Source organism: Homo sapiens, chromosome 12 (assembly GCF_000001405.40).
Source record: "Homo sapiens chromosome 12, GRCh38.p14 Primary Assembly".
Classification (NCBI taxonomy): Eukaryota; Metazoa; Chordata; class Mammalia; order Primates; family Hominidae; genus Homo; species Homo sapiens.
In genome coordinates this window covers 50,102,138-50,128,807 of record NC_000012.12, presented here as the reverse complement: position 1 = coordinate 50,128,807, position 26,670 = coordinate 50,102,138, and the positions used below count along the sequence as shown (strand labels likewise).

General features: G+C 50.3%; 2 protein-coding genes across 6 annotated transcripts, besides 5 other annotated features; both read right to left on the bottom strand.

The window, feature by feature from the left end:
* COX14 (cytochrome c oxidase assembly factor COX14) lies at positions 8,355-16,572 on the bottom strand. 4 transcript variants are annotated; one of them, XM_047429769.1, is made up of 3 exons: positions 16,507-16,572; positions 15,905-15,976; positions 8,355-8,772 (listed from the first exon to the last, which is right to left on the bottom strand). In XM_047429769.1, the coding sequence occupies exon 3, from the start codon at positions 8,762-8,764 to the stop codon at positions 8,591-8,593; it is 174 nt and encodes a 57-aa protein (XP_047285725.1). In that variant the 5' UTR covers positions 8,765-8,772; positions 15,905-15,976; positions 16,507-16,572; the 3' UTR covers positions 8,355-8,590. The 4 variants fall into 4 exon arrangements, with proteins under 4 accessions (XP_047285725.1, NP_001244062.1, NP_001244063.1 ...); NM_001257133.2 differs by lacking the exon at positions 15,905-15,976 and adding an exon at positions 10,256-10,315; NM_001257134.2 differs by lacking the exon at positions 15,905-15,976 and having other exon boundaries at positions 16,311-16,572.
* Positions 16,243-16,292: an enhancer, noted in NCBI's record as "active region_6347". NCBI's record gives its function as "activates an Ori minimal core promoter by ATAC-STARR-seq in GM12878 lymphoblastoid cells {active_cell/tissue: GM12878}" and the evidence as "EXISTENCE:reporter gene assay evidence [ECO:0000049][PMID:35858748]".
* Positions 16,303-16,542: an enhancer, noted in NCBI's record as "active region_6346". NCBI's record gives its function as "activates an Ori minimal core promoter by ATAC-STARR-seq in GM12878 lymphoblastoid cells {active_cell/tissue: GM12878}" and the evidence as "EXISTENCE:reporter gene assay evidence [ECO:0000049][PMID:35858748]".
* Positions 16,763-17,022: an enhancer, noted in NCBI's record as "active region_6345". NCBI's record gives its function as "activates an Ori minimal core promoter by ATAC-STARR-seq in GM12878 lymphoblastoid cells {active_cell/tissue: GM12878}" and the evidence as "EXISTENCE:reporter gene assay evidence [ECO:0000049][PMID:35858748]".
* Positions 17,083-17,132: an enhancer, noted in NCBI's record as "active region_6344". NCBI's record gives its function as "activates an Ori minimal core promoter by ATAC-STARR-seq in GM12878 lymphoblastoid cells {active_cell/tissue: GM12878}" and the evidence as "EXISTENCE:reporter gene assay evidence [ECO:0000049][PMID:35858748]".
* GPD1 (glycerol-3-phosphate dehydrogenase 1) lies at positions 17,495-24,800 on the bottom strand. Of its 2 annotated transcripts, none has more exons than NM_005276.4 (8): positions 24,717-24,800; positions 24,057-24,234; positions 23,120-23,260; positions 22,382-22,520; positions 21,891-22,003; positions 21,008-21,241; positions 20,678-20,784; positions 17,495-19,385 (listed from the first exon to the last, which is right to left on the bottom strand). In NM_005276.4, the coding sequence occupies exons 1-8, from the start codon at positions 24,755-24,757 to the stop codon at positions 19,289-19,291; spliced, it is 1,050 nt and encodes a 349-aa protein (NP_005267.2). In that variant the 5' UTR covers positions 24,758-24,800; the 3' UTR covers positions 17,495-19,288. The 2 variants fall into 2 exon arrangements, with proteins under 2 accessions (NP_005267.2, NP_001244128.1); NM_001257199.2 differs by having other exon boundaries at positions 23,120-23,191.
* Positions 25,741-25,790: an enhancer, noted in NCBI's record as "active region_6343". NCBI's record gives its function as "activates an Ori minimal core promoter by ATAC-STARR-seq in GM12878 lymphoblastoid cells {active_cell/tissue: GM12878}" and the evidence as "EXISTENCE:reporter gene assay evidence [ECO:0000049][PMID:35858748]".

Sequence of the window (26,670 nt, the reverse complement as noted above, 5' to 3'; positions counted from 1 at the left end):
AGTGGAGTAGGTTAGATACAGACTAACATCATCTATACCAGAGAACCAGGAGTATTTTTAAAAGAAGGCGTTACCTCTCATCTATTGGCTATAAAAGGGTTTTAACTTTATTATTATTCTTTTTTATTAGAGATAGGGTCTCACTCTGTCACCCAGGCTGGAATGCAGTGGCTTGATCATAGCTCACTGCAGCCTCGATCTCCTGGGCTCAAACGATCCTCCTGCCTCCCAAGTAGCTTTATTATTAACTGAAAAACGACTTATGTTTGTATAGTGCTTTACTGCTTAGAAAGTGATTTTTTTTTTTTTTTTTTTTTTTGAGACAGAGTCTTGCTCTGTCGCCAGGCTGGAGTACAATGGCACAATCTCGGTTCATCTTCAAGTGATTTTCCTGCCTCAGCCTCCTGACTAGCTGGGACCACAGGTGCGTGCCACCATACCTGGCTAATTTTTATGTTTTTAGTAGAGATGGGGTTTCCCCATGTTGGTCAGGCTGGTCTTGAACTCCTAACCTCAAGTGATCCACCCATGCTGACCTCCCAACATTTTGGGATTATAGGTGTGAGCCACCACGCCTGGCAAAAGTGATTTCACATACAACAATAACTAAAAGGTTTGAAACACTTCTGTTAAAAAAAAAAAAAAAAGAAAAAAGAAAAGAAAAAGAAAGAAAAAACACTGGCTGAGCCAAGTATGTTAAAAAAAAAAAAAAACACTGCTGTAGAAGTAGGATTATCCCCATTCCATAAATGAGTGTTGTGATTATCTATTAATATGTAACAAACCACCCTAAAACATAGTGGTTTAACAGAATATTATTATTGCTCATGATGTGGTTGTTTGGTTGAGCTCAGTTGGAGGTATCTCATGTGGTTGCAGTCAGATTTCAGCTGGGAATGGAGTTATTTATTTGAATGAAGATGCAGGTGCAATGGACGTCCAAGATGATTTACTTACCTAGTTTTGCCTGGCTATCAGTCAATGCTGGATTTTCCCTAGGAGCTCAGTCAGGGCTGTCAACTGAAGTGCCTGTACATGCCTCTCCATTATCTTGGGCTTTGCACAGGTGGCTAGGTTCCAAGAGGCAGGAAGCAGAAGCTGCTAGGACACTTAAGAGTGTTGTCTAGGCTGGGCATGGTGGCTCCTGCCTGTAATCCCAACACTTGAGGAGGCCAAGGCAGAAGGATTGCTTGAGGCCAAGAGTTTGGGACCAGCGTGGGCACAAGGTGAGACCCCATCTCTACAAAAAATTAAAAAATTAGCCAAGTGTTATGGTGTACACCTGTAGTCCCAGCTACTCTGGAGAATCAGGTGGGAGGATGACTTGAGCTCAGGAGTTTGAAGTTAACAGTGAGCAATGACTGCACCACTGCACTGCAGCCTGGGCGACAGAATGAGACCCTGTCTCAAAAAAACAGTGTTGTCTAGTAGTGGCACCCATCACTTCCACTGTATGCTACTGATCAAAGTAATCACAGGGACTGCCCAGATGCAAGGCAGGGTGGTAAGAGACTCTACCTCTTGATGAAGAAGTGGCAAGGTCACTGAAGACCAGTGGAATGGGAGACATTGCTGCAGCCATCTATGAAAGATTCAATATGCCACAATGAGGAAACCTAGTCTCAGAAGTTGTTTAAAAAGGCCAGGTGTGGTGGCTTACCATCTGTAATCCCAGCACTTTGGGAGGCTGAGGGAGGAGGACTGCTTGAGGCCAGGAATTCAAGACCAGCCTGAGCAACAAAGGGAGACCCCATCTCTACAAATAATTTTTTTAATTAGCCACAAGTGGTGCCATGCACCTATGGTCCAGCTACTCAGGAGGCTGAAGTGGGAGGATCTTTTGAGCCTGGAGGTCAAGACTGCAGTGAGCCGTGATTACGCCACTGTACTCCAGCCTGTATGACAGAGTGGACACACTGTTTTGTTTGTCTCAAACAAAACAAAAACAAAAAAACAGATTGTCCATCTAATCCTAAAAATAATTACGTAAGTTTAGTTGGTGGGTGATAAATGAAGTTCTTCAGACTTTAAATCCAGTATTCATGGTCAGGCACAGTGGCTCACACCTGTAATCTCAGCACTTTGGGAGGCAGACGCAGGCAGATCACCTGAGGTCTAGAGTTCGAGACCAGCTTGGCCAACATGGCAAAACCCCATCTCTACTAAAAATACAAAAATTAGCCAGGCACGGTGATTGCCACCTGAAATCCCAGCTACCAGGGAGGCTGAGGCAGGAGAATCGCTTGAACCCGGGAGATGGAGGTTGCAGTGAGCCAAGATCACACCACTGAACTCCAGCCTGAGTGACAGAGTGAGACCCTGTCTAAAAAAAAAAAAAAAAAAAGCCGGGCGCGGTGGCTCATGCCTGTAATCCCAGCACTTTGGGAGGCTGAGGCAGGTAGGTCATGAGGTCAGGAGTTCGAGACCAGACTAACCAATATGATGAAACCCCGTCTCTACTAAAAATACAAAAATTAGCTGGGTGTGGTGGTGCGTGCCTGTAATCCCAGCTACTCAGGAGGCTGAGGCAGGAGAATTGCTTGGAGCTGGGAGATGGAGGTTGCAGTAAGCTGAGATCACGCCATTGCACTCCAGCCTGGGCAACAGAGCAAGAGCGAGACTCCATTTCAAAAAAAAAAAAAAAAATCCAGTATTCATGCAGGAAAATATTTTCAGTTCAGTAACATAGTCATTAAGTACCTACTTTATGATAGGCACTATAGCAGGAGCTACAGACACAAAGATGAACAAGATCTGGTTTCTATCCTCAAAGTGCTCATACTCCAGTAAGGGGGAAATAAAATGCAATGTGATAAGAACTATTCTAAATTATTCTTGGCAAGGTGGAGGAAAACTTGAGAGTAAAGCTGGGCCATTAGAGTTAGGTGGAGTTTTGCCAGGCAAAAAAGCAATGGAAGGGAAGGGTATTATGTTTAGAAGAGACATGAGAGTATATGAAAGGTATCAGTTCTAGCTTAATGCAGACTAAAATAAACTGAGACAAATATCTAGAAATGATAGGTGAAGTATTTTCTAAGCTGTTTTTTAAAAATGCATAGCAGAGCTTCCAAGAAAGACTAAAGACAAAGGAACTGAAAACTGGAGCAGACAGGAAAATAGCCGATGCAATTACTGAGGGGATAAGGGAAACGTACCTTAAGGACTTGTTTTAATACTGACAACTAAAGACAAGACTGGCTCCAGGCAGGAAACTGAAACCCCCAGTTAAAGCTGGGACCCTGAAAGAGCAACAGCCTTAGTGAAAGAGGGGAAACCATAAAAAAACCCCACCCAGGTGGTGAAAGGAAGAAGCAAGGAAGTCTGAATGCCTAGGCTTGTGAGATCAGGAGATTGTTGAAAATTCTGAATCCTGGGCCTGCCCCTTATGTCAATTTTAGAACATTTCTCATGTGAATAATGAGTGCTCTTCCTGTATGGTCTGGAAAACCACCACTCCCACCAAATCCCCAGCCAAGAAGGTTCTAAAAAGTGGTCTCAGATCCACTGTCCACAGGTTTGCTCTGGAGAGACATATGATGCAGGCAACATGGAACTCTACAGCCACCCTCACCCTATAAAAACTCCAAAAGATGATTTCAGTCAAACCTGCAACCCATGTAACTAATAAAATACTATTATCCAGAATATATAAAGTACTGCCTACGAACTGTTTTTTCAAAGAAGACAACTCAATAGAAAGAGAAGTGGGGCCAGGCACAGTGGCTCATGCCTGTAATCCCAGCACTTTGGGAGGCTGAGGTGGGTGGATCACCTCAGGTCAGGAGTTTGAGGCCAGCCTGACCAACATGGTGAAACCCTGTCTCTACTAAAAATACAAAAATTAGCCTGGCACGGTGGCATGTGCCTGTAGTCCCAGCTACTCGGGAGGCTGAGAGAGAATTGCTTGAACCCGGGAGGTAGAGGTTGCAGTGAGCTGAGATCGCACCACTGCACCCCAGCATGGGCGACAGAGCAAGACTCCATCTCGAAAAAAAAAAGTGGGGGTGAGGGAAGGATATAAATAGGAAAATCCCAGAGGGTAAACATACTAATGGCCAATAAATCAATAAAAAAAAGTCCTCAACCTTATCAGATATCAATGATATGTAAATTAAAATTAATAGAACCACTCAACACCAACAGAATAGGGAAATGCTGGTGAAAGTGAAATTCACATAACCACTTCGGAAAAGCAACTTAACAACTGGTAAAGCTAAATACCAGTGATATTTCCTCCTTTGGAGAAACTAACACATAGGCCCAAGTAAACATACAAAATACTCACTGCATTGCTATTGATTTATAAGAGGGGAAAAGTGGGAACAACCCAATAATGCTTCACTAGGGTAATGGAACAAATTGATATGCTCATTCAGTGGCATAGTATACAGCAATTACAATGAATGAACTATTTTCCTGTCAATATGGATGCATTAGTCTGTTCTCCAGAGAAACAGAACCGATAAGATATATAGATGAGAGACAGAGCTTTACTATATGGAATTGGCTTCTATGGTTCTGGAGGCTGAGAAGTCCCAAGATCTGCAGGTGATAAGCTGAGGACCCAGAAGAGCCAATGGTATAGTTCCAGGCCAATTCCAAAGGCCTGAAAACCAAGAGAGCTGACGGTATGAGTTCCAGTCTGAGTCCACGTCACAAGGTAGAAGACTGATTTTCCACCTCAAAGACAGAGATTCTCTCTTAATCAGCCTTCCTGTTCTGTACAGGCCTTCAATGGGTTGAATGAGGCCCAGAAATATCCTGATAGATACACCCAGAGTAAGACCAAATATGTGGTTACCCTATGACCCAGTCAGGTTGACATATAAAATTAACCATCATAGCCAGGTGTGGTGGCTCATGCCTATAATCCCAGCATTTTAAGAGGCCAAGGTGGGAGGATTGCTTGAGGCAAAGAGTTTGAGACCAGCCTGGGCAACAGTGAGACTCCATCTCTACAAAAATAATAAAAGTAGCCAGGTGTGGTGGTATGTGCCTGTAGCCCAGCTACTCAGGAGGGTGAGGCGGCAGGATCACTTGAGCCCAGGAGGTTGAGGCTGCAGTGAGCTATGATCATGCCACTGCCCTCCCGCCTGGGCAACGGAGAGGAGACCCTACCTCAAAAAAAAAAAAAAAGAGGTCTTGCATATCATGAGAGGGAATGTGTTATGGACTGCATGTTTGTGTCCTCCTCAAAATTCCAATGTCAAAACCCTAACCCCCAGTGGGACAGCATTAGGTGGGCTCTTTAGGGGGTCATTAGGTTCTGAGGATGGACCTCTCGTGATGGGATTAGTGCCCTTATAAAACAAACAAGGAGAGCTTGCTTCCTCTTTCTGCCATGTGAGGACACAGCAAGACGACCATCTGCAAACCAGGAGGTGTGTCCTCATGATGCACTGGATCTGCTGGCAACTTGATCCTGGATTTCCCAGCCTCTAGAACTATGAGAAATAAATTGCTATTACCATCTATGGTAATTTGCTTTAGCCACCCAAACCAAGACACTGCACTGACCTTGACCCTGTAGCCAGTGGTTCTCATCTATACAGCCCAATACCTTTTGAGTTTTTTGGGTTTTTGTTTTTCTTTTTTGGAGACTAAATAGTCTCATTATGATGCCCAGGCCTGATTCACACTCCTGGGTGGGATCAAGTGATTATCCCATCTCAGACTCTCAAGTAGCTGGGATTACAGTCATGTACCATGGTACCCAGCCTTTGGGCTACTTTCTGTATTTACAACACACCCCCTACCCTTTTTTTTTTTTTTTTTAATTGAGACAGGGTCTTGGCCAGGCACCGTGGCTCACATCTATAATCCCAGCACTTTGGGAAGCCAAAGCGGGTGAATCACTTGAGGCCAGGAGTTCGAGTTAACCAGCCTGGTCAACATGGTGAAACCCCATCTCTACTAAAAATACAAAAATTAGCCAGGTGTGGTGGCGCACACACATAGTCCCAGCTACTTGGGAAGCTGAGGCAGGAGAACCGCTTGAACCCGGGAGGCAGAAGGGTGCAGTGAGCCGAGACTGCGCCACTGCACTGCAACCTAGGTAACAGAGGAAGACTGTCTCAAAAAAAGAAAAAAAAGACAGGGTCTCACTCTGTTGCCAGGCTGGAGTGCAGTCGTGCAATCATGGCTCACAGTAACCTCTAACTCCTAGGCTCAGGCAATCCTCCACCTCATCCTTCCAAAGTGTTGGGATTACAGGCGTAAGCCACTGTGCCTGGCCTTAAAACACTCTACTATCCTGTGCAGACTGATCTATATTCTGTTGTATCAGAGACTCAAACACCAGGAGCCAGCTCAGCCATTAATGGCACGATTTTCTGAAATGGTGAACAAACTACTGTACAGTCTTGCCTCTATTTAGTTGCATGCCTGCAGAACTGTACAAAAAATACTTTGTTTTTATGTAAAAGGGAGTTAGGTTATATGCTCAGCTAATTATTATATAAACTTTTTTCACCTACCAAATATCTAGGACATCTGATAGTTGTGCAGGACTTAGGACAATTTGTTGTACAAGACTACCCCAGGGACCAGGTACAGTGGCTCATGCCTGTAATCCCATCATTTTGGGAGGCCGAAGCGGGAGGACCACTTGAAGTCAGGAGTTCAAGACCAGCCTGGACAACATGGTGAAACCCTGTCACTACTAAAAATACAAAAATTAGCCAGGCACAGTGGCATGCGCCTGTAGTCCCAGCTACTCATGAGGCTGAAGTGGGAGGATTGCTTGAACCTGGGAGGTGGAGGCTGCAGTGAGCCGAGATCACGCCACTGCACTCCAACCTAGGCGAAAGAGCGAGACTCCATCTAAACAAACAAAAAACAACAACAACAAAAAACAAACCTTGAATAGCTGTTTTGGTGTGGGATAGAGGGCCTTAAGCAAGTTTACATACTCGAAAGAAGAGGGTGAGTTAGAAAGGGTAATTAAAGGAGCAAGGTCCAGGCTTGGTAACAAGACAGATGAAGGCAGAGACTGCAGGTGTGGTGAGTTGTTCAGGGGATCATCTATGGGCATATGCTGGACAAGGAAGCAGTGCAGGCAAAGGGGGCTGACAGATTGGGGAAAAATGGAATCAAGAGACCTGAAGTCTCCAAGGTCTAGAATGGTAGAAATGAGAATATAAGAAAGTTTGTCAAAAAGGACTAATCTGATGCTTGGGTAGGGAAAGTAATATTCGAAAGTGGCACTGAGGATCTGGGAGAATTATGACCCTACTGTGGGAAAGCAGAGCAGGCAGGAATGCCTAGGCTGACACAAAGATGGGAGTACAGGGGTTGAGGATATAGGAAAGTTGGTATGTATATATGGATGGATGGATTTTGGCTGGCAGGGTCTCTGTCACCCAGGCTAGACTGCAGTGGCACAATCAGAGCTCACTGCAGCCTCAGCCTCCTGGGCTCAAGCGATCCTCCAGCCGGACTACAGGTATGCACCACCATGCCTGGCTAACTTTTCAAATTTTTTTGTAGAGACAGGGTTTCAACCATGTTGCCCAGGCTGGTCTCAAACTCCTGGGCTCATGGGATCCTCCTGCTTGAGCCTCCCAAAGTGCTGGGATTATAGGTGTGAGCCACCGTGCCCAGCCGAAAGTTGGTGTTTTAAAATCATGGAAGAGGTTTATGAGCAGGGGCAAAGGTCAGCGCAGTCTGCACATGAGTGTATGGGAGAGGACAGGTGTCCAGAGAGGCTGATATTCTGGGCAATCATCAAGAATGAGGTGAACCAGCTGAGCCTCAAAGCTCAAAATGGAATGGTGGCAAGGATCTCTCACTTCCTAATGAGGTCTTGAAAGCACTTTGTTTTCTTTCAAATCCTCTTCACATCTCTGCAATAAAACCTCCAGGTAGGTTTCCCGTGCAGTAGCACAGTGAATCTATCCTTATGCTCTACTACACCCACTGAGCTTAAGGAGGTGAACTGCTTTACCACACGCTGCCCAACAGCCCTTCCTCTTGCGAACTATCCTCCTCTGCTGCATGCAGTTTGATTACGGCTGTCAAACAAGGGCCTCTACCCTCCTTGATGCAGAGCTGCACATGTGGCCATGCTGGCCAGAGTAACCAGATACCTAGATCCAGTAATCAGCTCAGGAATGGGCTCTACCCAGAGAAAAGCTCCTTACAGAATTATTTCAGGGGATTTATATAAATCCTGGGACAACCTTTCCTCTAAGATCATGAGGGCAGATACTACTCCTGGAGCTGTACATCACCCACTTCATGGGTGCTAAGAGCTCAAGATATGGTAATCCAGTCTATACCCAGAAAACTGGTAGTCAAGGCTCCCCTTTTGTGGTCCATATGCTATTTGGGTAAACAAAAAACACCAAGACACAGACACAGCAAATTATTTAATGTCTGTAGGTGTACCTCACCCTCACATTGCTATTACGATTCAAAAGCCTCCATAAACTGTCAAACTGGCAGAACCAGAGAAACCATGGGCACTTTCTTCCAACAGGGTTTGAAAACCATCAACGCTCTAGTCCTGTTGACCTGGAAATGGTGGCAGGTGAAGTCTCTCCACAGCATGCCTTGGGCCTCTCTGCTCAGGAGAAAAAGCCCCCCAGTTCTACATGATTCCTGAGGTCTTCTGTTCTTCTGCGGCCTGGCGCTGGGCCCTGCGCCACTGGAAATAGTGGTAGACTCGGACACTGCAGAGGTACCCCCCATACACAGTGAGAAGCATCATGGAGGTAGAGAAGGTCTTATAGCCAATGTCAGCTAGCTGCTTGCCAGTTGGCATCTTGTCCCCTACAAAGACAGATTGAATTTAGACCTGAGGATAAGGCCTCATCTGCCCAGCCCATCTCCCTGTTTAACGCCATTCCATAACTTCTGCATCCTGCTTGGTCTGTCTGCACTCTATACTGAATGGCCCCTATGTCTAGGTAAAGTCTCATAGGGATACTGGAAGATATCATTTAGGAACTCTATGATTCAAAAGGGCAAATAAAATGTGCCTACAAGATACAGAAACAAGCCTGGAACCAGGTGTCTCTGAATGTCATCAAAGCCAACATTTGGCCTTCCATGCCTGTGGACAGAAGTGACTGGCATGGACCAGCCTGGACTGCTGGGGTTTGTTTTGTTTTGAGACAGGTTCTCACTCTGTTGCCCAGGCTGGAGTGCAGTGGTGTGAGTATGACTCATTGCAGCTTCAACCTCCTGGGCTGAAGTCCACCCTCCCACCTCAGCCTCCCAAGTAGCTGACGCTACAGGTGTGTACCACCACACCGCCCAGTTTTTCTACTTTTGTAGAGACAGGGTCTTGCTATGTATGTTGCCAGGGCTGCTCTTGAACTCCTGGGCTCAAGTGATCCTCCCACCTTGGCCTCCCAAAGTGCTGGGATTGTGTACAGGCATGAGCCACTGCACCAGCCAGGGCTGCTCTAACTGGTAACATTAAGCAAGCATCAGTTTTTCTAGCTAGGAGGGAACTAATGGAGGTAGCAGAAATGAAACATTTGCAGTGAATTATTCTCTCTAGGAAGATCAAATGGGAACCTTTCAGGCAATATCCAATTTGTTTCCCCATAAAAACGATCTTATTCATGGTGGTTAGGTTTCCAAGTCAACACTAAAGCTTGTTTAAGCCATAATATAACTGAAATAGTGTCAAAAGTACTTTTATATTATTTCAATTATACTTAACCTTCTACAGTATTAATTCTACGTTCTAAACCCAACACTAAGAACCTATCCCACAGGCTAAAAAGAAACTTACTGGGTCCCCAGCAAATTGTTAACTCATATTTGCATGAGATAAATTACTTCTAATTTAACTGTTCCCTGGATATTCCAAGCTAGGAAACAAGAGAAAGTTTAGTAGAGAATCCCTCATCTGGAACAAAATGTCCCTCAATTTGGGACTATGAATGTGTTCCTAGGTGCTACTCTGTTGAGGGAACTGAAATTAAAAGACTGACTGAAATTAGCGAGATAGGTTTCTTAAAAGTCAGGAAGACTACCTCAATAAAATAAAATAAAAAATACATATATAGATATATAGATATATTTTTTGAGACGGAGTCTCACTCTGTCCCCCAGGCTGGAGTGCAGTGGCACGATCTCGGCTCACTGCAACCTCCACCTCCCAGGTTCATGCCATTCTCCTGCCTCAGCCTCCCGAGTAGCTGGGACTACAGGCGCCCGCCACCACACCCAGCTAATTTTTTGTATTTTTAGTAGAGATGGGGTTTCACCGTGTTAGCCAGGATGGTTTTGATCTCCTCACCTTGTGATCCACTCGCCTTGGCCTCCCAAAGTGCTGGGATTACGGCGTGAGCCACCGCGCCTGGCCAAAAATACATATTTATTTTTAAAGAAACAACAACCAGAGCATGATGTCCATCAAGGACGGGGTTGGGGTATGTGCAAGCTGCACGAAGACTGACAGAAACTGCAGTGAAAGGCAAGACTGTGTTCAGAATGCCAAGGTGGGACCGGATGCAGTGGCTCACGCCTGTAATCTCAGCACTTTGGAAGGCCGAGGAGGGTGGATCACCTGAGGTCAGGAGTTCGAGACCAGCCTGGCAAACATGGTGAAACCCTGTCTCTACTAAAAATACAAAAAGTAGCTGGGCGTGGTGGCGCATGCCTGTAATCCCAGCTACTCGAGAGGCTAAGGCAGGAGAACTGCTTGAACCTGGGAGGCGGAGGTTGCAGCGAGGTGAGATTGCGCCAGTGCATTCCAGCCTGGATGACGGGGAGTGAGACTCCATCTCAAAAAAAAAAAAAGGGGGGGTGCCAGGTATGGTGGCTCACGCCTGTAATCCCAGCACTCTGGGAGGCTGAGGCAGGTGGATCACGAGGTCAAGAGATCGAGACCATCCTGGCCAACATGGTGAAACCCTGTCTCTACTAAAAATACAAAAAATTAGCTGGGCATGGCAGTGCGCGCCTGTAGTCCCAGCTACTCAGGAGGCTGAGGCAGGAGAATCACTTGAACCCGGAGGCGGAGGCTGCAGTGAGCTGAGATCGTGCCACTGCACTCCAGCCTGGTGACAGAGCAAGACTCCATCTCAAAAAAAAAAAAAAAAAAATTAGCCCAGCGTGGTGGTGCATGCCTGCGTCCCTGCTACTCGGAGGCTGAGACAGGAGAATTGCTTGAATCCCAGAGGCAGAGGTTGCAGTTGAGCCGAGATCGCATCATTGCACTCCAACCTGGGCAACAGAGTGAGACACCGTCTCAAAAAAAAAAAAAAAGAGACAGAAAAAGAGTGCCAGGGTGGAAGCCAAGAGGGGAATGTCTCAAGGACCTTTGGACCCAGTCCTGAGGAGCCTTGAGAGAACTGGGCCCAATAAGCCTGCCAGTGAGGCCTAAGAGGGCCCTATTTTTAGTTTTTGGCAGCTTGCTCTCCACTTAATGGCTCTCAGCACTGTAGGCAGAGACACTTAAAATCCCGCCCCTTACCATGGCCACGCACACACACACACCAAAGCATACACACAAACAACAAAGTCAAGAACCTAGGCAGGGCATGGTGGCTCACACTTGTAATCCCATGCTTTGGGAGGCCGAGTCAGGAGGATCACTTGAGGCCAGGAGTTTGAGACCAGCCTGGGCAACATAGTGAGACCCTGTCCCCACAAAAAAAATTTTTTTTTAAATTAGCCACGCATGGTGGCATATGGCTGTAGTCCCAGCTACTCAGGAGGCTGAGGTGGGAGGATTGCTTGAGCCCAGGAGGTTGAGGCTACAGTGAGCTGAGATCGTACCACTGCACTACAGCTTGGGTGACAGAGTGAGACCCTGTCTCAAAAAACAAAAAAAAATTGAAAGTAAAGCTCAGGATTCGCTGGTTTAGAGGGGTCAGACATGGGTACAGACATGTAAATACTTCTCAGAGTAAACCCTAAGGGCTGAACATTGCCTTTGAGGCAGGTCTTGAGTGTGGACCCCAAGCTGAGCTGAGACACAGCTTCTTTGAAATATAATCCCACTATGGAAAGTGATATTAAGTAAGGTCAGAGGAAGAATACTAAGTGACACAAGTTCAAGATGAGAAAGGATTGTGTTCAGGTTTGAAATCTGAGGTTTGAAATGGCCCCAAGCTGTGCATGCAATAGTGAACAAAACACACACCCATGGAGCTGAACGCTAAGCCGCCTGCAAAGAGCCCTGCAGCCTTCAACTTCCCTGTCACTTATTGCTATTCCTACTCATCACCCTAGCTAGATGCTTAACAATTATAGGACCACCTCTTCCAAGGGCTGGAGGAAAAGAGCTGGAAGCATTCACCAACCAACAAAAACAGGATGGTACAGCTTGGCTAGAAAAGTGACATAAAACCAACTAACAGACATAATCCTGCTGTCTAGAACCTTACCTTCCCTCTCTTGTCTTAATCCATCCTGTGGTTTTCCCTAATATCCAATTAGCAAAAACTCTTCAGGCCGGGCGCAGTGGCTCACGCCTATAATCCCAACAGTTTGGGAGGCTGAGTCGGGCAGATCACCTGAGGTCAGGAGTTCGAGACCAGCCTGGCCAACATGGCAAAACCCTGTCTCTACTAAAAATACAAAAATTAGCCAGGCGTGGTGGCGGATGCCTGTAGCCCCAGCTACTCAGGAGGCTGAGGCAAGAGAATCACTTGAACCTGGGAGGCAGAGGTTGCAGTGAGCCAAGAGAGTGCCACGGCACTCCAGCATGGGGGACAGAGCAAGACTCTGTCTCAAAAAAAAAAAAAAAAACTCTTCAGATTCTGAGCTAAAGCAGTGGTAGCAGTAGAAGTGGAAAGAACAGATGCAGAAGATACTTTGGAAGTAGAAAAGGATTTATCAATGGAGCGAATTAGGGCAAAGCTGAAAATATTAATACCTCCAAGTTAGGAAACTTTGTAGACTGGGATACTGTTAACAGAAATAAGAAACAAGAGAAGAGGTATGTATCACTGTATATACAGGGTGGTGACAGTGTCCATCAAGAAGATCACGTGGCCGGTGCAGTGGCTCACACCTGTAATGCCAGCACTTTGGGAGGCAAAGACAGACGGATCGTTGAGCCCACGAGTTTGAGACCAGCCTGGGCAACATGGTGAAACCCTGTCTCTACAAAAAATACAAAAATTAGTGGGGCGTAGTGGCATGCACCTGTAGTCCCAGCTACTCAAGAGGCTGAGGTTGGAGGATCGCTTGAGCCCAGGAGGTAGAGGTGCAGTGGGCCGAGATCATGCCATTACACTGCAGCCTGGGTGACAGGGAGACCCTGTCTCAAAAAAAAAAAAAGGAGGATCATGAGCTGGGCTTGAACACGTTAAAATGAAGATGCTCGGCCGGGCGCGGTGGCTCAAGCCTGTAATCCCAGCACTTTGGGAGGCCAAGGCGGGTGGATCACGAGGTCAGGAGATCGAGACCATCCTGGCTAACACGGTGAAACCCCGTCTCTAGTAAAAATACAAAAAAATTAGCCGGGCATGGTGGCGGGTGCCTGTAGTCCCAGCTACTCAGGAGGCTGAGGCAGGAGAATGGCATGAACCCGGGAGGCGGAGCTCGCAGTGAGCAGAGATCGCGCCACTGCACTCCAGCCTGGGCAACAAAACCAGACTCCGTCTCAAAAAAAAAAAAAAATTAAGATGCTCAGCCAGGCATGGTGGCTCACACTGGTAATCCCAGCACTTTGGGAGGCTGAGGCAGGAGAATCGCTTGAGCCCAGGAGTTCAAGACTACGCCTAGGCAACACAGCGAGACCCCATCTCTATTTAAAAAAAAAAAAAAAAACCGGCCGGGCACGGTGGCTCACGCCTGTAATCCCAGCACTTTGGGAGGTCAAGGTGGGCAGATCACAAGGTCCAGAGATTGAGACCATCCTGGCCAACATGGTGAAACCCCATCTCTACTAAAACTACAAAAATTAGCTGGGCATGGTGGCGCCTGCCTGTAGTCGGAACTACTCTGGAGGCTGACGCAGGAGAATTGCTTGAACCCAGGAGGCGGAAGTTGCAGCCACTGTACTCCAGCCTGGCGACAGAGTGAGACTCCATCTCAAAAAAAAAAAAAAAAAAAAAAAAAAAAAAATTAAGATACTCAACACAACATTCATGTGATGATGTCTATCAGGCAGATGGAAATACAAATTTAGATAGATACAGCTTAGAAGGGAAGCTATGTTTCAGATACATATGGAGGTAATAAGCAAAACCAAAGGAGAGGATAAGACCAGAAAGAGAGAGGCCAAGGGAGCAACAGTTCAAAGAAGGCAACAATTAAGGAGAAAAGGCAGGTAGGAAATTCCAAGGCCCGGCGCAGTGGCTCACTCCTGTAGTCCCAGCACTTTGGGAAGCCGAGGAGGGCGGATCACCTGAGGTTGGGAGCTCGAGACCAGCCTGACCAACACGGAAAAACCCCACCTCTACTAAAAGTACAAAAATTAGCCAGGCGTGGGGTGGCACATGCCTGTAATCCCAGCTACTCAGGAGGCTGAGGCAGGAGAATCGCTTGAATCCAGGAGGCGGAGGTTGTGGTGAGCTGAGATCGCGCCACTGCACTCCAGCCTGGGCAACGAGTGAAACTCCACCCCTCAAAAAAAAAAAAATTCCAGAAACACCTGTTTTTTTTTTTTTTTTTTTCATTTAACTACATCCCCCTTCCTGGTTGAAAACCACTGCTGAATCAAGTCACTGCCACTGATGGAGGTGTACTGTATCTTTCCAGTGTGTTAGGCTAGAATAAAAATTGAGAACCATAGCTGGGTGTGGTGACATGCACCTGCAGTCCCAGCTACTAGGGAGGTTTGGGTGGGAGGCTTGCCTGAGCCAACGAGTTTGGGGCTGCAGTGAGCTGTGATCACGGCCCTGCACTTGCAGAGCAAGACTGTGTCTCTAAAAATAATAATAATAATGATAATAAAGAAAAAAAAAAGGCTGGGCGTGAGCCACCTGTAATCTCAGTACTTTGGGAGGCAGAAGTGGGCTGATAACCTGAGGTCAGGAGTTCGAGACCATCTTGGCCAATATGATAAAACCCTGTCTTGACTAAAAATACAAAAATTAGCCAGGCATGGTGGCACATGCCTGTAATCCCAGCTACTCAGGAGGCTGAGACAGGAGAATCATTTGAACCCGGGAGGCGGAGGTTGCAGTGAGCCGAGATCGCGCCACTGTACTCCAGCCTGGGCGACAGGGCGAGACTCCGTCTCAAAAAAATAAATAAAATAACAAACAAATAAATAAATAAATAAAATAACGGCCGGGTACAGTGGCTCACGCCTGTAATCCCAGCACTTTGGGAGGCCGAGGCGGGTGGATCACGAGGTCAGGATATCGAGACCATCCTGGCTAACACAGTGAAACCCCATCTCTACTAAAAACACAAAAAATTAGCCGGGCGTGGTGGCGGGCACCTGTAGTCCCAGCTACTCTGGAGGCTGAGGCAGGAGAATGGCATGAACCCGGAAGGCGGAGCTTGTAGTGAGCCGAGATCCCGCCACGGGACCCCAGCCTGGGCGACAGAGCAAGACTCCGTCTCAAAAAAAAAAAAAAAAAATTGCGTAAACGTATGGGTAGAAGTGCGATTTTGTTACATGCATACACTGCATAGTGGTCAACTCAGGGCTTTTAAGGTATCCATCATCTTTTATCTACTTTTTGTTTGGCACTTAGAGAGTAGTACATCGGCCGGGTACGGTGGCTCACGCCGGTAATCCCAACACTTTGGGAGGCCGAGGCGGGAGGATGGCTTGAGCTCAGGAGTTGGAGACCAGGTTGGGCAACATAGGGAGACCTTTTCTCTATTTAAAAACAACAACAACAACAACAAAAAAAAAACCTTTTTTTAAAAATTACCCGGGCGTGGTGGCGCACACCTGCAGCCTGAGCGACAAAGCAAGACCCTGTCTCAAAATAACATAACATAACATAACATAACATAACATAACATAACGTACATCATGCTACGGAGGCCGCTAAAAAGAACATGGCTTCTGTCATACAGGAGCTTATGGTCTCATGGAGAGGCACTGTGAGAGTTCAGAGACAACAGCTCAAAGACAGGGTGGGGGCTTGAGAAAACTTAGCAGAAAGGTGTAGGGGTGGGAATCGGGGTGGGAGTGGAACTGTCTTTTTAGAAGGATGGCCTGGAGAAGAGGAGCAGTGAGAGCATTCCAGGAAGTGAAAGCGGTCAAGAGGTGGAGCTGGATAGCCGATATGCACGAAGGGTGCCCCGGAGAGCCACTTATCAGGACGCAGAGGTCTATAGAGCAAGGAAGAGGCAGAGTTGGAGCGTGGAGGGTCGAGACGCCAGGCAGGAGTCGAGGTTTGACAGGATTAGCGCTGAGCTCTAGCAAGACTGACCTACTGCTGCGAGGAGCTTGGGCTTGGGCAGGAAGCAGTGCAGCTCGCGGTCCGCAACGCAACAGAAGCGGGTGAATTCAAGGGCACCAGGCCTGCAGACTAGGGGATGGGAGGACGCGGCAAGCGGAGACTGGCCCAGGTGGGCGCGCAGGCAGTGGGACTGGCAGCCCCTGCTCGGCCCTAGCCGGCAGCGTACCTGGATGCTGCAGCTCCTTCGCATCCAACCGAGGCCTCCTCAGGCAGGCAGGGTCTCGAGGCCACTGTCTACGCAACTTCCCAGCACAGCCGAACGCAGCACTCGGAACCAGACACGTGAGGGTAGCGTCCCTGGACAACCCTGAACGCCTCAGCTATTGGTGCAGAAAGCAACTTTCTCCCTCCCACCTGCCGGGTTAGCCTCTAGGATTCGGCTTGCCGCGCTATAAAGGGAACTGCGCATCAGACGCGGCACAACTCCGCCCACTAAGGCGGGAGTCCGCGCAGGCCGTCACTCTGGCTGGAGGCCGGCTTTGAACTTCCGGCTTCCGGGCCCGTTATCCTTACTACGCATCCTCAGACGCGCCGTGCTCTCGGAGAGGCCCGCTGAATTCTGGGGGCTGTGGTTTCTCTCCCTCGAGGGAGGGTCTTTGGCGAGCCAAGCTCTGGAACCGGAAGTTTTAGGATGCTAAATCAGAGTCAGCCAATCCTCAGCCTACGGTGCGGTGACGTCGCCAGTAGCTGGGTAGATTTTCGCAGCCGGCCTTCTGGAGGTGGATCGCGCGCCCCCTAGAGCCCGGCTGTGGGCCTAGTCCAGGTAGGGGCCCGAGGGGCACCGCGATGCCTGGACCGCTAAGGATGCGGCAGCTTGGCCCGTGACCAAGGAATGGGCACAAGGGATGAGAGTCTAACGTTTCCGTCCCGTGTGTGATCTCTATTCTTGCAGGAGGCATGATAAAGCCCCTAAGAAGGGCCGGCAAGGCCGGGGCCAGCTTGCGGCGAGGGCGGGAGGGGGCGCTGGCGGGAGGGGAGAGAGAGGGATGGGGACTGAGTGGGCACCGCCGCTGACCCCTGGAGTAGCTGCGATTATGGAGGAGGGATTTCTTTTTTCATTTTTCCTACGGTAAGAGGGAAAACATACGTGCAATGATACGCGCCAGCACACGCACTGCCACATGCACTGAAGCTCCCTCTCCCAACTCTTCTTGTTTCTGGAAAAAACACGCTTTATTGGGTAGACAAATAGGCCTGATGGGAAGGCCTGAGTCACAGTGCACTGGGGAGTGAACAAAAGTAGGCAAAGTGCTTGAAGCTTCCCCTTTGCCCCCACCTTAACCTCCTGGGGAGGCAGCTCTGGACACTCAGTACCCAGACCTGGGCTCAGCAAGGCCTGGGGTGACTGTGCCCCTCACTCCTGCTGCCTGATCTGGGCAGCCCCACCCTTCACTGGTAAGACAGAATTCTCAAGGGATAGGCGCAGAGAGGAGCCCGCCTCCCTGGTTCATTGGAGAGTAACAGGGTTTTAGCATAATGCTGGCCAGAGCCAGTGTGCCAGGTGCTGCCACACAGGAAGCTGACAGCCCTGCTGGACGGGCGGGAGCCTCTCGGGCCCTCCGGACTATTTATAGCTGGAGGCCTAGGCTGCTGACCTGTGACATTCCTCTGCTGCCACCCCATCCTGGAGCAAGGCAAGTGCAGAGCACACTCCTCCTCCTCCCCTCCTGTTCTTTCCTCACCCCAGGGAGTAGGGTGGTTTTGATTTTCTTCCTCCTCCTTGAGTTTCCCAGCTCTCGAGTTGCTGGTGTTGTCAGTACCTCACGAGAAGGCCCTCATTCAGCAAAGAGAGCTGCCCTTGGAATATTGGTGCCCACCAACATAGGAATCTGCTCACCCTTCCCTACCGTTCATCAGCCTTTGGGCCACCCTCTGGCCTGCTGGCTTCCAGATGCCAGGCATGGTTAGCTGGTTACCCTGGCCGGTCTGGAGCAGCTGAGGAAGAGGTGCAGAGTTTGGGAGGAAGAAAGGGGTGGAGTCAGGGATGTCCTCTGGGGAGATAGCACAGGAGGGGCCCAGCTGACACCTCCCCCAGCTAGAGCTACTGAGAAGGAAGCCTGGGTGAATACAAAGGTCACAGGGAGCTGAGTGATCTGAGCCTGTTATGAAAGGTGTAGCTCTGTCAGCAGATTAAGTTCCTGCTCCCCAAAGAGGGTGCTGGCGGGGAGGGTGAGGGAAGGCTTGGAAAGGTCGCACAGAGTGGGGAGGAGCTGGCAAAGAACTAGGAACCGGGAAGTCCCTGGGGAGAATGTCAAGCCACCGAGCTACAGATGCCAGCATGGCAGCAATTTGGGTGCCAGGGCAGCCTGGGGGAGGGGGAAGGGGGAGAACCAGAGGTTTCTGAGGACACAGATGTTGCTAGGAGAAGCTAAAAGGGGTTTGTTTGAGATCTTTGTATTTTGTTAACAAACACTGAGATCCATCGAAGCTGTGTGGGTCCTGGCAGAGGTCAGCAAAGGGGTCCTTGGGGCCTGCATCAGCTCAGAAGCCCAGACCCCTCCCTGACAATCCTTGCCTCATCGCTCCTGTGGCTAAGATACTTCTTCAGCCCTTTAACAGGATTACTGGTGTATGTGAGACAGCCACTAGCAGCCCCTGCCCTACCGGCCTCTCCCCCAACCCTTCTCCACATACATCACCCCCGCCACCAAGCAGGCAGCACTGGGGCTTGATTCCACCCCTCCCAGAGGATATGGAGAAAGCCCCACATCTGGAGAGGGACAGGGCAACTGCATTTCTGGCAAATGTGGTGGCATGAGGCTGCCAGTGGCTTGACAGTTCAGGATCTCCAGGTGCGTAGCTGGGCCCCATAGCCTCCTGTCCTCCAGTGAAAAGATGAGAAGACTCTGCTCCCTGGGAGTCCTGGAGATCCTGGTGACTAGGTACCCCAGGCTTCTGCTGGTCTCCACTGGGGTAAAAAAGCGGCCTGGCCTGGGCCCTGGCCCCACTCACATATGTTCTGGATGATTCTGCAGGCAGTGGATGAATTCACCCACTGGCTGGCCCTCGTAGCACACCTTGTACACAGCCATGAACAAGGGAAACCTAGATTGGAGAGGGAAAGGCTCAGCTTAGCCTCCCACTCCTGGTCCACTCTACCCCCACCCCCACTCACTGCCTAACCCTCCTGTCCCTTGCCCTCCCACCTTGGAGCTCAGGAAGGATGGCTGTGAGTTTCTACCTTCTGAGAATGTGAACTCCCTAGCCCTAGGTTTAAGGTCAGATTGCTAATTGCCCTGCTCCCTACCATGTTGAACTGGCCTGCATGATTCTCTGGCTTGGATTTTCTGTGCCAACTGGGCAACCCACTTTTTTTTTTTTTTTTTTTTTTTTGAGACAGACTCTCGCTCTGTCGCCTAGGCTGGAGCGCAGTGGTGCAATCTTGGCTCACTGCAACCTCCGCCTCCCAGGTTCAAGCGATTCTCCTGCATCAGCCTCCTGAGTAGCTGGGATTACAGGCACACACCACCATGCCTGACTAATTTTTGTATTTTTAGTAGAGATGGGGTTTCACCATGTTGGTCAGGCTGAGCTCAAACTCCTGACCTCGTGATCCACCCACCTTGGCCTCCCAAAGTGCTGGGATTACAGGTGTGAGACACCACACCCAGCCTTGAGCAACCCACTTAACCTCTCTGAGCCTCAGTGTCACCAACTGTAAAATGGGGCCAATATAACAAAGGAATGATTGTGTATGTGAAGATGTAATTAGGTATGATGTGAAAGTGCTTAATAAATACTCATTTCCTTCTTACTGTCCTTTTGCCCAGCTGCTCCCTTTTCCAAGCTTTACCCTGACCAGTCATGAGTGGATATTCTGAACCTGTTTCATACTGTCTTCTTCTAGGAGTCTTTCTCAGACCAGCACAGCTCTGCTCTGATCAGCCCAATCACCCCCGCTGTCTTTCTGAAAACGAGCACCTTGAAGCCCATCCTTCTCCTTACACCTCAGCACCCAGAACAGGATTCAGGGAACAGATGGGTTGGCCTTGGGGAAGAGACTCAAACTAGGGGTGATGGACAGAAGTGGGATGAGCTTATTCCTGCTGCCCCAGAGCTCCAACCCCAGAGCAGAGGACAAGGAAGGAGGGGCACAAAGGGATCCAGGTAATGTAGTGTGAAGAGCACTAGACTGGAAGGAGTTCAAAGACCATGAACTAGCTGGCGGACAATGGGCATGCCAGACTCTGCAAGCTCTGGACTCTGTCTGAAATGTAAGGTAATACTCCCCTTTCTGTCCACTTCACAGATTTGTGGCAGGTTTAGGAAGATGATGAACAGGGCGAGCACTTCTGGCTGTGGCTCCCTTAATCAGTGGGGCTGTGGCCAATACTTACTTGTCTACCAGGCCCTTGTGCTGGAGGATGCTGTATAGCTCCCGGGCTGTCTCGGGCCCCTGCAGTTTCTGCCCATTCAGCAACTCTTTCTCCAGCTGCTCAATGGACTGTGCAGAAAACAGGATGAGTGGATGGAAATGGGAGAGAAGGGTTGTCAGTAGGGGGTGGAGAGACTGGAGCTCAGATGGGAGTGGGGTCTTGGGAGGAAAAGAGGGATGGGGATGTGCACAACAGTCTTAATGTTTGTGCTCCAGAGATGCCTCCCGCCAAGCACCTCTACCTGGATGCCTACAGAGCCGCCCCTCTGTTCTCCCTTCTCCCGGGGCCCACCTTTCCTGTACGCGCAAAGGCCTCAGCCACTTTCCGGTTCCGCCCTCCATAGCAGGTAGTGATCAGGTCAGCAACACCACAGCTCTCCAAGAAGGTGGCAGAGGACACAGGGCCACTGCAGAAGAGCTTGGCGAAGGCTATCATCTCCATGAGTCCCAGCCGGATCACTGCCGCCTTGGTGTTGTCGCCAAAGCCCAGGCCATCACAGAAGCCAGCCCCCACGGCCACTACATTCTTGAAGGAGTGGAGGTCATAGGTGAGAAAAGACCCCCTCCTATAGGCCCCATGTGGAGCCCCCTCATACTCATTTCATCAGCCGTGACACCCACTGCAGAAGAGAGGTATAGTGTGTGGCCTTTTAGAAGCCTACTTCCGCCTCTTGGTTTCCCCCCTTGCTGCACCCCCTTTCTTAAGCCCTGCCCCATACTCCCTCCTCGAGGACATTTTCTGAAAACCACTCTTCTCTCTAGTTGATCTTCCCATCTATGACCATTCCATTGTACAGCCCTCAAGTCAACAGCTGTCCAGGATCCATAGTTCTGGCCATTAGTCTGTCTGGGTGTCAAGGATGTTTTGTCTCCCATTAGCCTGGGCATCTCCTTGTCCCCCTGGACCACCTCCTGGAGCCAGAGGGTGGGGAGTCCCACACGGGGCTAAAATGGGACAGGAGCAAGGGGGTCCACGGTCTGATGATGAATAATCAGCCGGCCTGAATGGCCCTGGCCTTGCTTCTGCAGCTCCTCCTATATGCATGGGACATGGTAGGAAAGGGGAACCACTGCTCAATAGTGAGAGCCTGGAGTACCTGCAGCCTTGCAGAGCTCAGCCAGACCTCCTTTGGGGCCTTCTCCTCACCCCATAGCTGCCTCTGTGCCCCTCTCACCTTTAAGGCTCCACAGATCTCTACTGTGTCCACCTCTTGCACCACTGTGATACGGAAGTTTGGTGTCTGCATCAGCTCTTTCAGGAGTTGTCCCTGGGCCGGGTCCTTGCAGCCTAAAGTGAGGAGGGGGCAAGGCTTTGAGGGAAGGACTCTTTTTAAAAAATATTTATTTTATAGAGATGGGAGTCTCTCTCTGTTGCCCAGGCTGGACTCAAACTCCTGGGCTTAAGCGATCCTCCCACCTCAGCCTCTTAAGTAGCTGGGACCACAGGTGTGCCACTGCACCAACTCTGAGGGAGGGCTCATCACTGTGTTTCCCTAAGCAGGCCCTGAAGCCCCTTCCCTGGGGGTGTCCCAGCCTCCTTCACCTCTGATGCTTGTATTTTCCTTTCTCTGCCTTATGGGAAAGAGATGGCTAAGTGGGGTTGGGGCAGTTTGGGGAGGGGATGCAACTAGATGCACTGTGTATGCAGGTGCCAGGGGGCTCTCACCAATGGTTGTCTCACAGAACTTCTCATCAGCCACCTCGCTGGCAATGTTGGCCCCCATCAGCACACTCATGGGGATGCCGAGGCGCTCCCCAATCACTTCCGAGATGAGCTTCAGCCCATTGGGGCCCTCGTCTACCCCCTGAGCACAGGATGGAGCTCAGGCCAGGTGCCCTTTGGGCCCACCTGCGGGCTTCCGCCCAGAAATTCTGTCCCTTCCAAATCCATTGCTCATCTGTGTCCCTCCCGACAGGTCCTGCCCCATTCCAACCCAGCTCAAGTTTGCTGTGAGGAGGCCAGACAGCATGTGACCAACTGTCCTGCCACATACCCTCAACCAGTCTACTTCTCCAAGGCAACGGGTCCCCTCCACATCCCTAGGCAACCCCGCCTGACTGCCCCAACAAACTGCCATTCAGTGACCAGTCACTGCTCCAAACCAGCTACTCTTCACACTTCTCAAACCAGCCCGCTTCTCATATCTCCCAGGCATTCCTTTATACCTCCGAAACTCCCCGAGAGGACCTCCAAACCAATCTCGTCTCCTCCCTTCAGCCTCCCTTCCAGTGACCCCCAGCACCTCACTGCTTTCCTAAGCCTCTCCAGAGCCAACTGCCTCTCTTTTCTCCAGCAAACTCTTGGCCTGCGTCTGCCATTTTCTGTTCTCCTTGCTTCACCCACCCTGAACCCCACAACAGTGAGCCGCACCCTCCCCCATCCACATGAAGGTGTCCCTGGCACCTTAATAAGAGATATGCCAGTGGCGTTTGCCTTCAGATGGCCCTTGAGCTGGTCACAGATCTTGCCGATGAACTGATGGGGCACCACAAAGATCAGGATGTCAGCATCCTCTGCAGCCTGGACCACATCTGGGACAGCCACCTGTGGGGGTGACCAAGTGCTCGCGGGCCTGGCAGACCTCCCCTAGCCCCTGTGGAACCCTATTCAGGAGATCTGGGAGCCAAAGAGTGAGGCTGGTAGGGGAGCAGGAAGGCTTGTTTGGGACTGAATCTAGAAGGACTGAACTTGGAGGAATAAGACACTCTACTCCCTCCCCCCAGCTACCACTCTGTCTCCCTCCAGCTGTCCTGGGCTCTTGAGGACTCCTGGAAACCTCATCCCAGCACTCTCCTATCCCTTGGCTGTGGGACAGTGCGGGAGGCCAAAAGCAGCCTGGGCTTGGCAAAAGAAAGAGCTCAAATAAGATTTCATCACCCAGCTCCTCAGGAACCCCAGCTGGGAAGGGGGAGCCCCAGCCTTTCTGCTCTCTTCCCTGCTTCCCCTTTCCAGGTGGGGAGAGCCACGTGGATTTGACCAAAGACCGTAAGTCCAAGGAGCAGCCTCCAAGTCGGCTACTCACTCAGTGAATGAGTAACAGGATTAGTGCCGGAGGCAGGCACTACTGGACCCCAAGTCTGGGAGCCCAGTCTTTGGCTGCCATGGAGACCAACTTGTTCTCCCATCCCTTCCCCACCCACCCGCCTGGGAGCCTGTGAGGGGAAAGCATAGGTTCTCCTCAGTCCTCAGGAAAGGGCCCAGAGCAGCCCTCCTGAGACCTTCCCAAGTCCTGCTGCACCTGAAGCGGCCCTCTCAGCAGGAGGCACCTGTTGAGTAAGGTCGGCTCCAACTCCTGGCCCTCCCTTCCTCTCCCTGTTCTTCGCAGGGTGTTGGGGCTCACCACATTTGGGGGCAACTTGTGCCCTGGCAGGTATTTGACATTCTCATGCTGCGTGTTGATGATCTCAGTCAGCTTTTTGCCTCCAATGTCTTCCTCAAATACCCACATGGTCACCCGTGGGTCAAACTGTGCCAGCTGGGCTGCATTGCCACCCACGATCTTGGCGATGGCTGAGCCCCTGGTGGGAGGGGGAGCACAGGAAAGTACAGGAGGAGGGAACAGTGGCAGGAGTTGGGGCAGCGCCCCACCTCAGGATCTCACAGCAGCCCCCCAGGCTGTTCACTCCTACCTACCTTCCTTATCACCTCCACTCCCATGACAAATAGTCCCCAGTGACCTGGCAGTAGAAAGGAGACTCAGTCTCCTCACCCTTTGCTACTAGAGAAGGGAGCCCCACTTCTCATCTTCCCACCCCCAAACTCAAGCGGCTCTTCACATAGAGAGCTCTGGAGACGCCTTCCCATGGTGAACAGGTGCAGCTGCCCAGGAGGGCGGGGGTCAGGAGAGGGCCGGGCACCGTCTGTCCTGTGCTGCTATGATAGAAGATAGCAGCAGGGGCTGAACAGGAACCTGAGGGCCTTTCCCACCCATTCTGCCTCCTACCCACCTCTGTCTTGGGGGGCCTACCCTTCCCCCATATCACTTGACAGAGCTGCTTACCAGTTCCCGGAGCCTACAATGCAGACTTTCTTGCTAGCCATGGTGCCGCGTCTCTGCCTGAGCCGGCTCAGTGCCACACTCCCTAGCTCCTCTGCCGGCTAGGAGCATTTAACTCCACCACACGTGGGTGCAGCCAAGCCCCGCCCTCCAGGGGTGGGTGGGGAGGCTGGCGCCCAGGGAGATAGAGAGTCTGGCAGAGCCAGGGAAAGGAGAGACAGGGGTACAGACAGGTGTGGAACAGGAATGGGGCAGAGACTAGGCCCAGCTTTTTCTCCTGGGCTCATCGGCTGACAGTGCTGGCAAGCTTCTTCCCTTGGCCCCAGCCCAGCTTCCCACCATGGTCTCATTTTGAGGTCTGCTAAGAAAATAGCCCAGATAAGGAGCAGGTGACTGCTCTCCCTTGCTCCTTTCTGTCCCCCAGCATGAAATAAATTGTATTTAGCTTCAGTAGCAGCTAGGGGAATGCTTTTCAGAGGTAGGCTCCTCCATGACCCCCTATCCCCCCGCCAACCCTGCCACATATCCTCACAGGACCCTGTTCCACAGTTCTGTCCTCCAGCAGGCCCACGCTAGCTCCACTGCAGGGCTGGGGTGGGGGATGTGGGCCCACTTCCCACCTCTAAAGATGAGGCCACATAAGAGGTAAGGGCCTGCTTTGAGGACAGCCCAGCTCAAAAAAGGATGAGAGACTCCAGGTGCCTCAAAAGACAAGATTGTCTTGGTCACCCACAGAGGTCATCTTGGGGACTCATCCATGGGCCTCTCAGATGATCCCCACCCAAAAATGTGTTCTAGGGAAGGTGGGAAAGGTTAAAGTTAGAGAGCTCTGAGAATTGCGGTACACAATTTTGTTGTAGACTCTGGGCTTAAGAGGACAGGAGAGAATAGGAGGCAGGCAGAGTGCACACTGTCCTTGAAAGGCTTTGAGCCTCCTTCAACTCCTCCTCTCAGGGGTTTCCAAGGTACTGCCCCAGGGGCTTCATCAGGTGAATGGCTAGTTTGCAGAGGCCAGAAAAGGGGAAGGCAGGCAGTACCCGGGGCAGCTGTGTCCGTGGGGCTTTGTGGTCTCAGATGCTGTGATTGGGGGTAAGTTTGGTGTATGTTTTTTGGGGAAGGGCGAGAATGGAAGGAGCACCCTCAGCAGTTCAGGGCTCTGCATCGCCCACGGCCATCTGTTTGTCTAAGACGAGGGAAGCTCTGGTTTCCAGGCTGATCTGGAGAGTGGAGCAAGAGGCTCCTAACACTGTGCACCTTGGCCTAGAGGGCAGACACCACTGTGTGCTCATGTGCTGACCTCCTGGCTTGGCAGACGGCTAGGTGGGTGTTGCCATCCCCCTGGGCTGTTGCTGGCCAGCAACTGGTAACAAGCACTGGGCTACAGGGGAGTCTGTGTGCAACCCATGGGTAGGAGTAAGCAGGCAGGAGGTCAAGACTGGGGAGAAATGGCTTTCTAAGTTCCGGGGACTGCCCAGGAAAAACCAACCATATTCTCCTTCCATGGCCAGTAATTTCCCATAGGGAAACGGACATGAAATCAGTAGTTGGCTGTTTTTCTTAGCACAATGTTATACCTAATACAGAAACAGCCTCCCACAGACCACTCCTTTATTGCACTGGCACTGAGATGAAGGCTCCAGTGCCAGGCTGCCAGCTGGGAGCACTGATTACGGGTGATGGAAGAGAAAGGATGCTTCTGTCCCTGGCACAAATGATGGGAGCCCCAAAGAATGGATGTTTATGCATAAAATAACCCCCTTGTTTTTGCCTAAATGCTTCCCTCTCTCATTTTGCCCCTACAATCATTTTAGATAGTGTGGAGACTAAGAATGTGCTCATTTACATGGGAATAAAGAGGGTGCAGAGATTCAGAATCGGCTCATCACAGGAAGTTATCTGTATCACTAGAGCTCTTTTCCCAAGAGCAAACTGTAGATTTGCTTGAAATTAATAATGG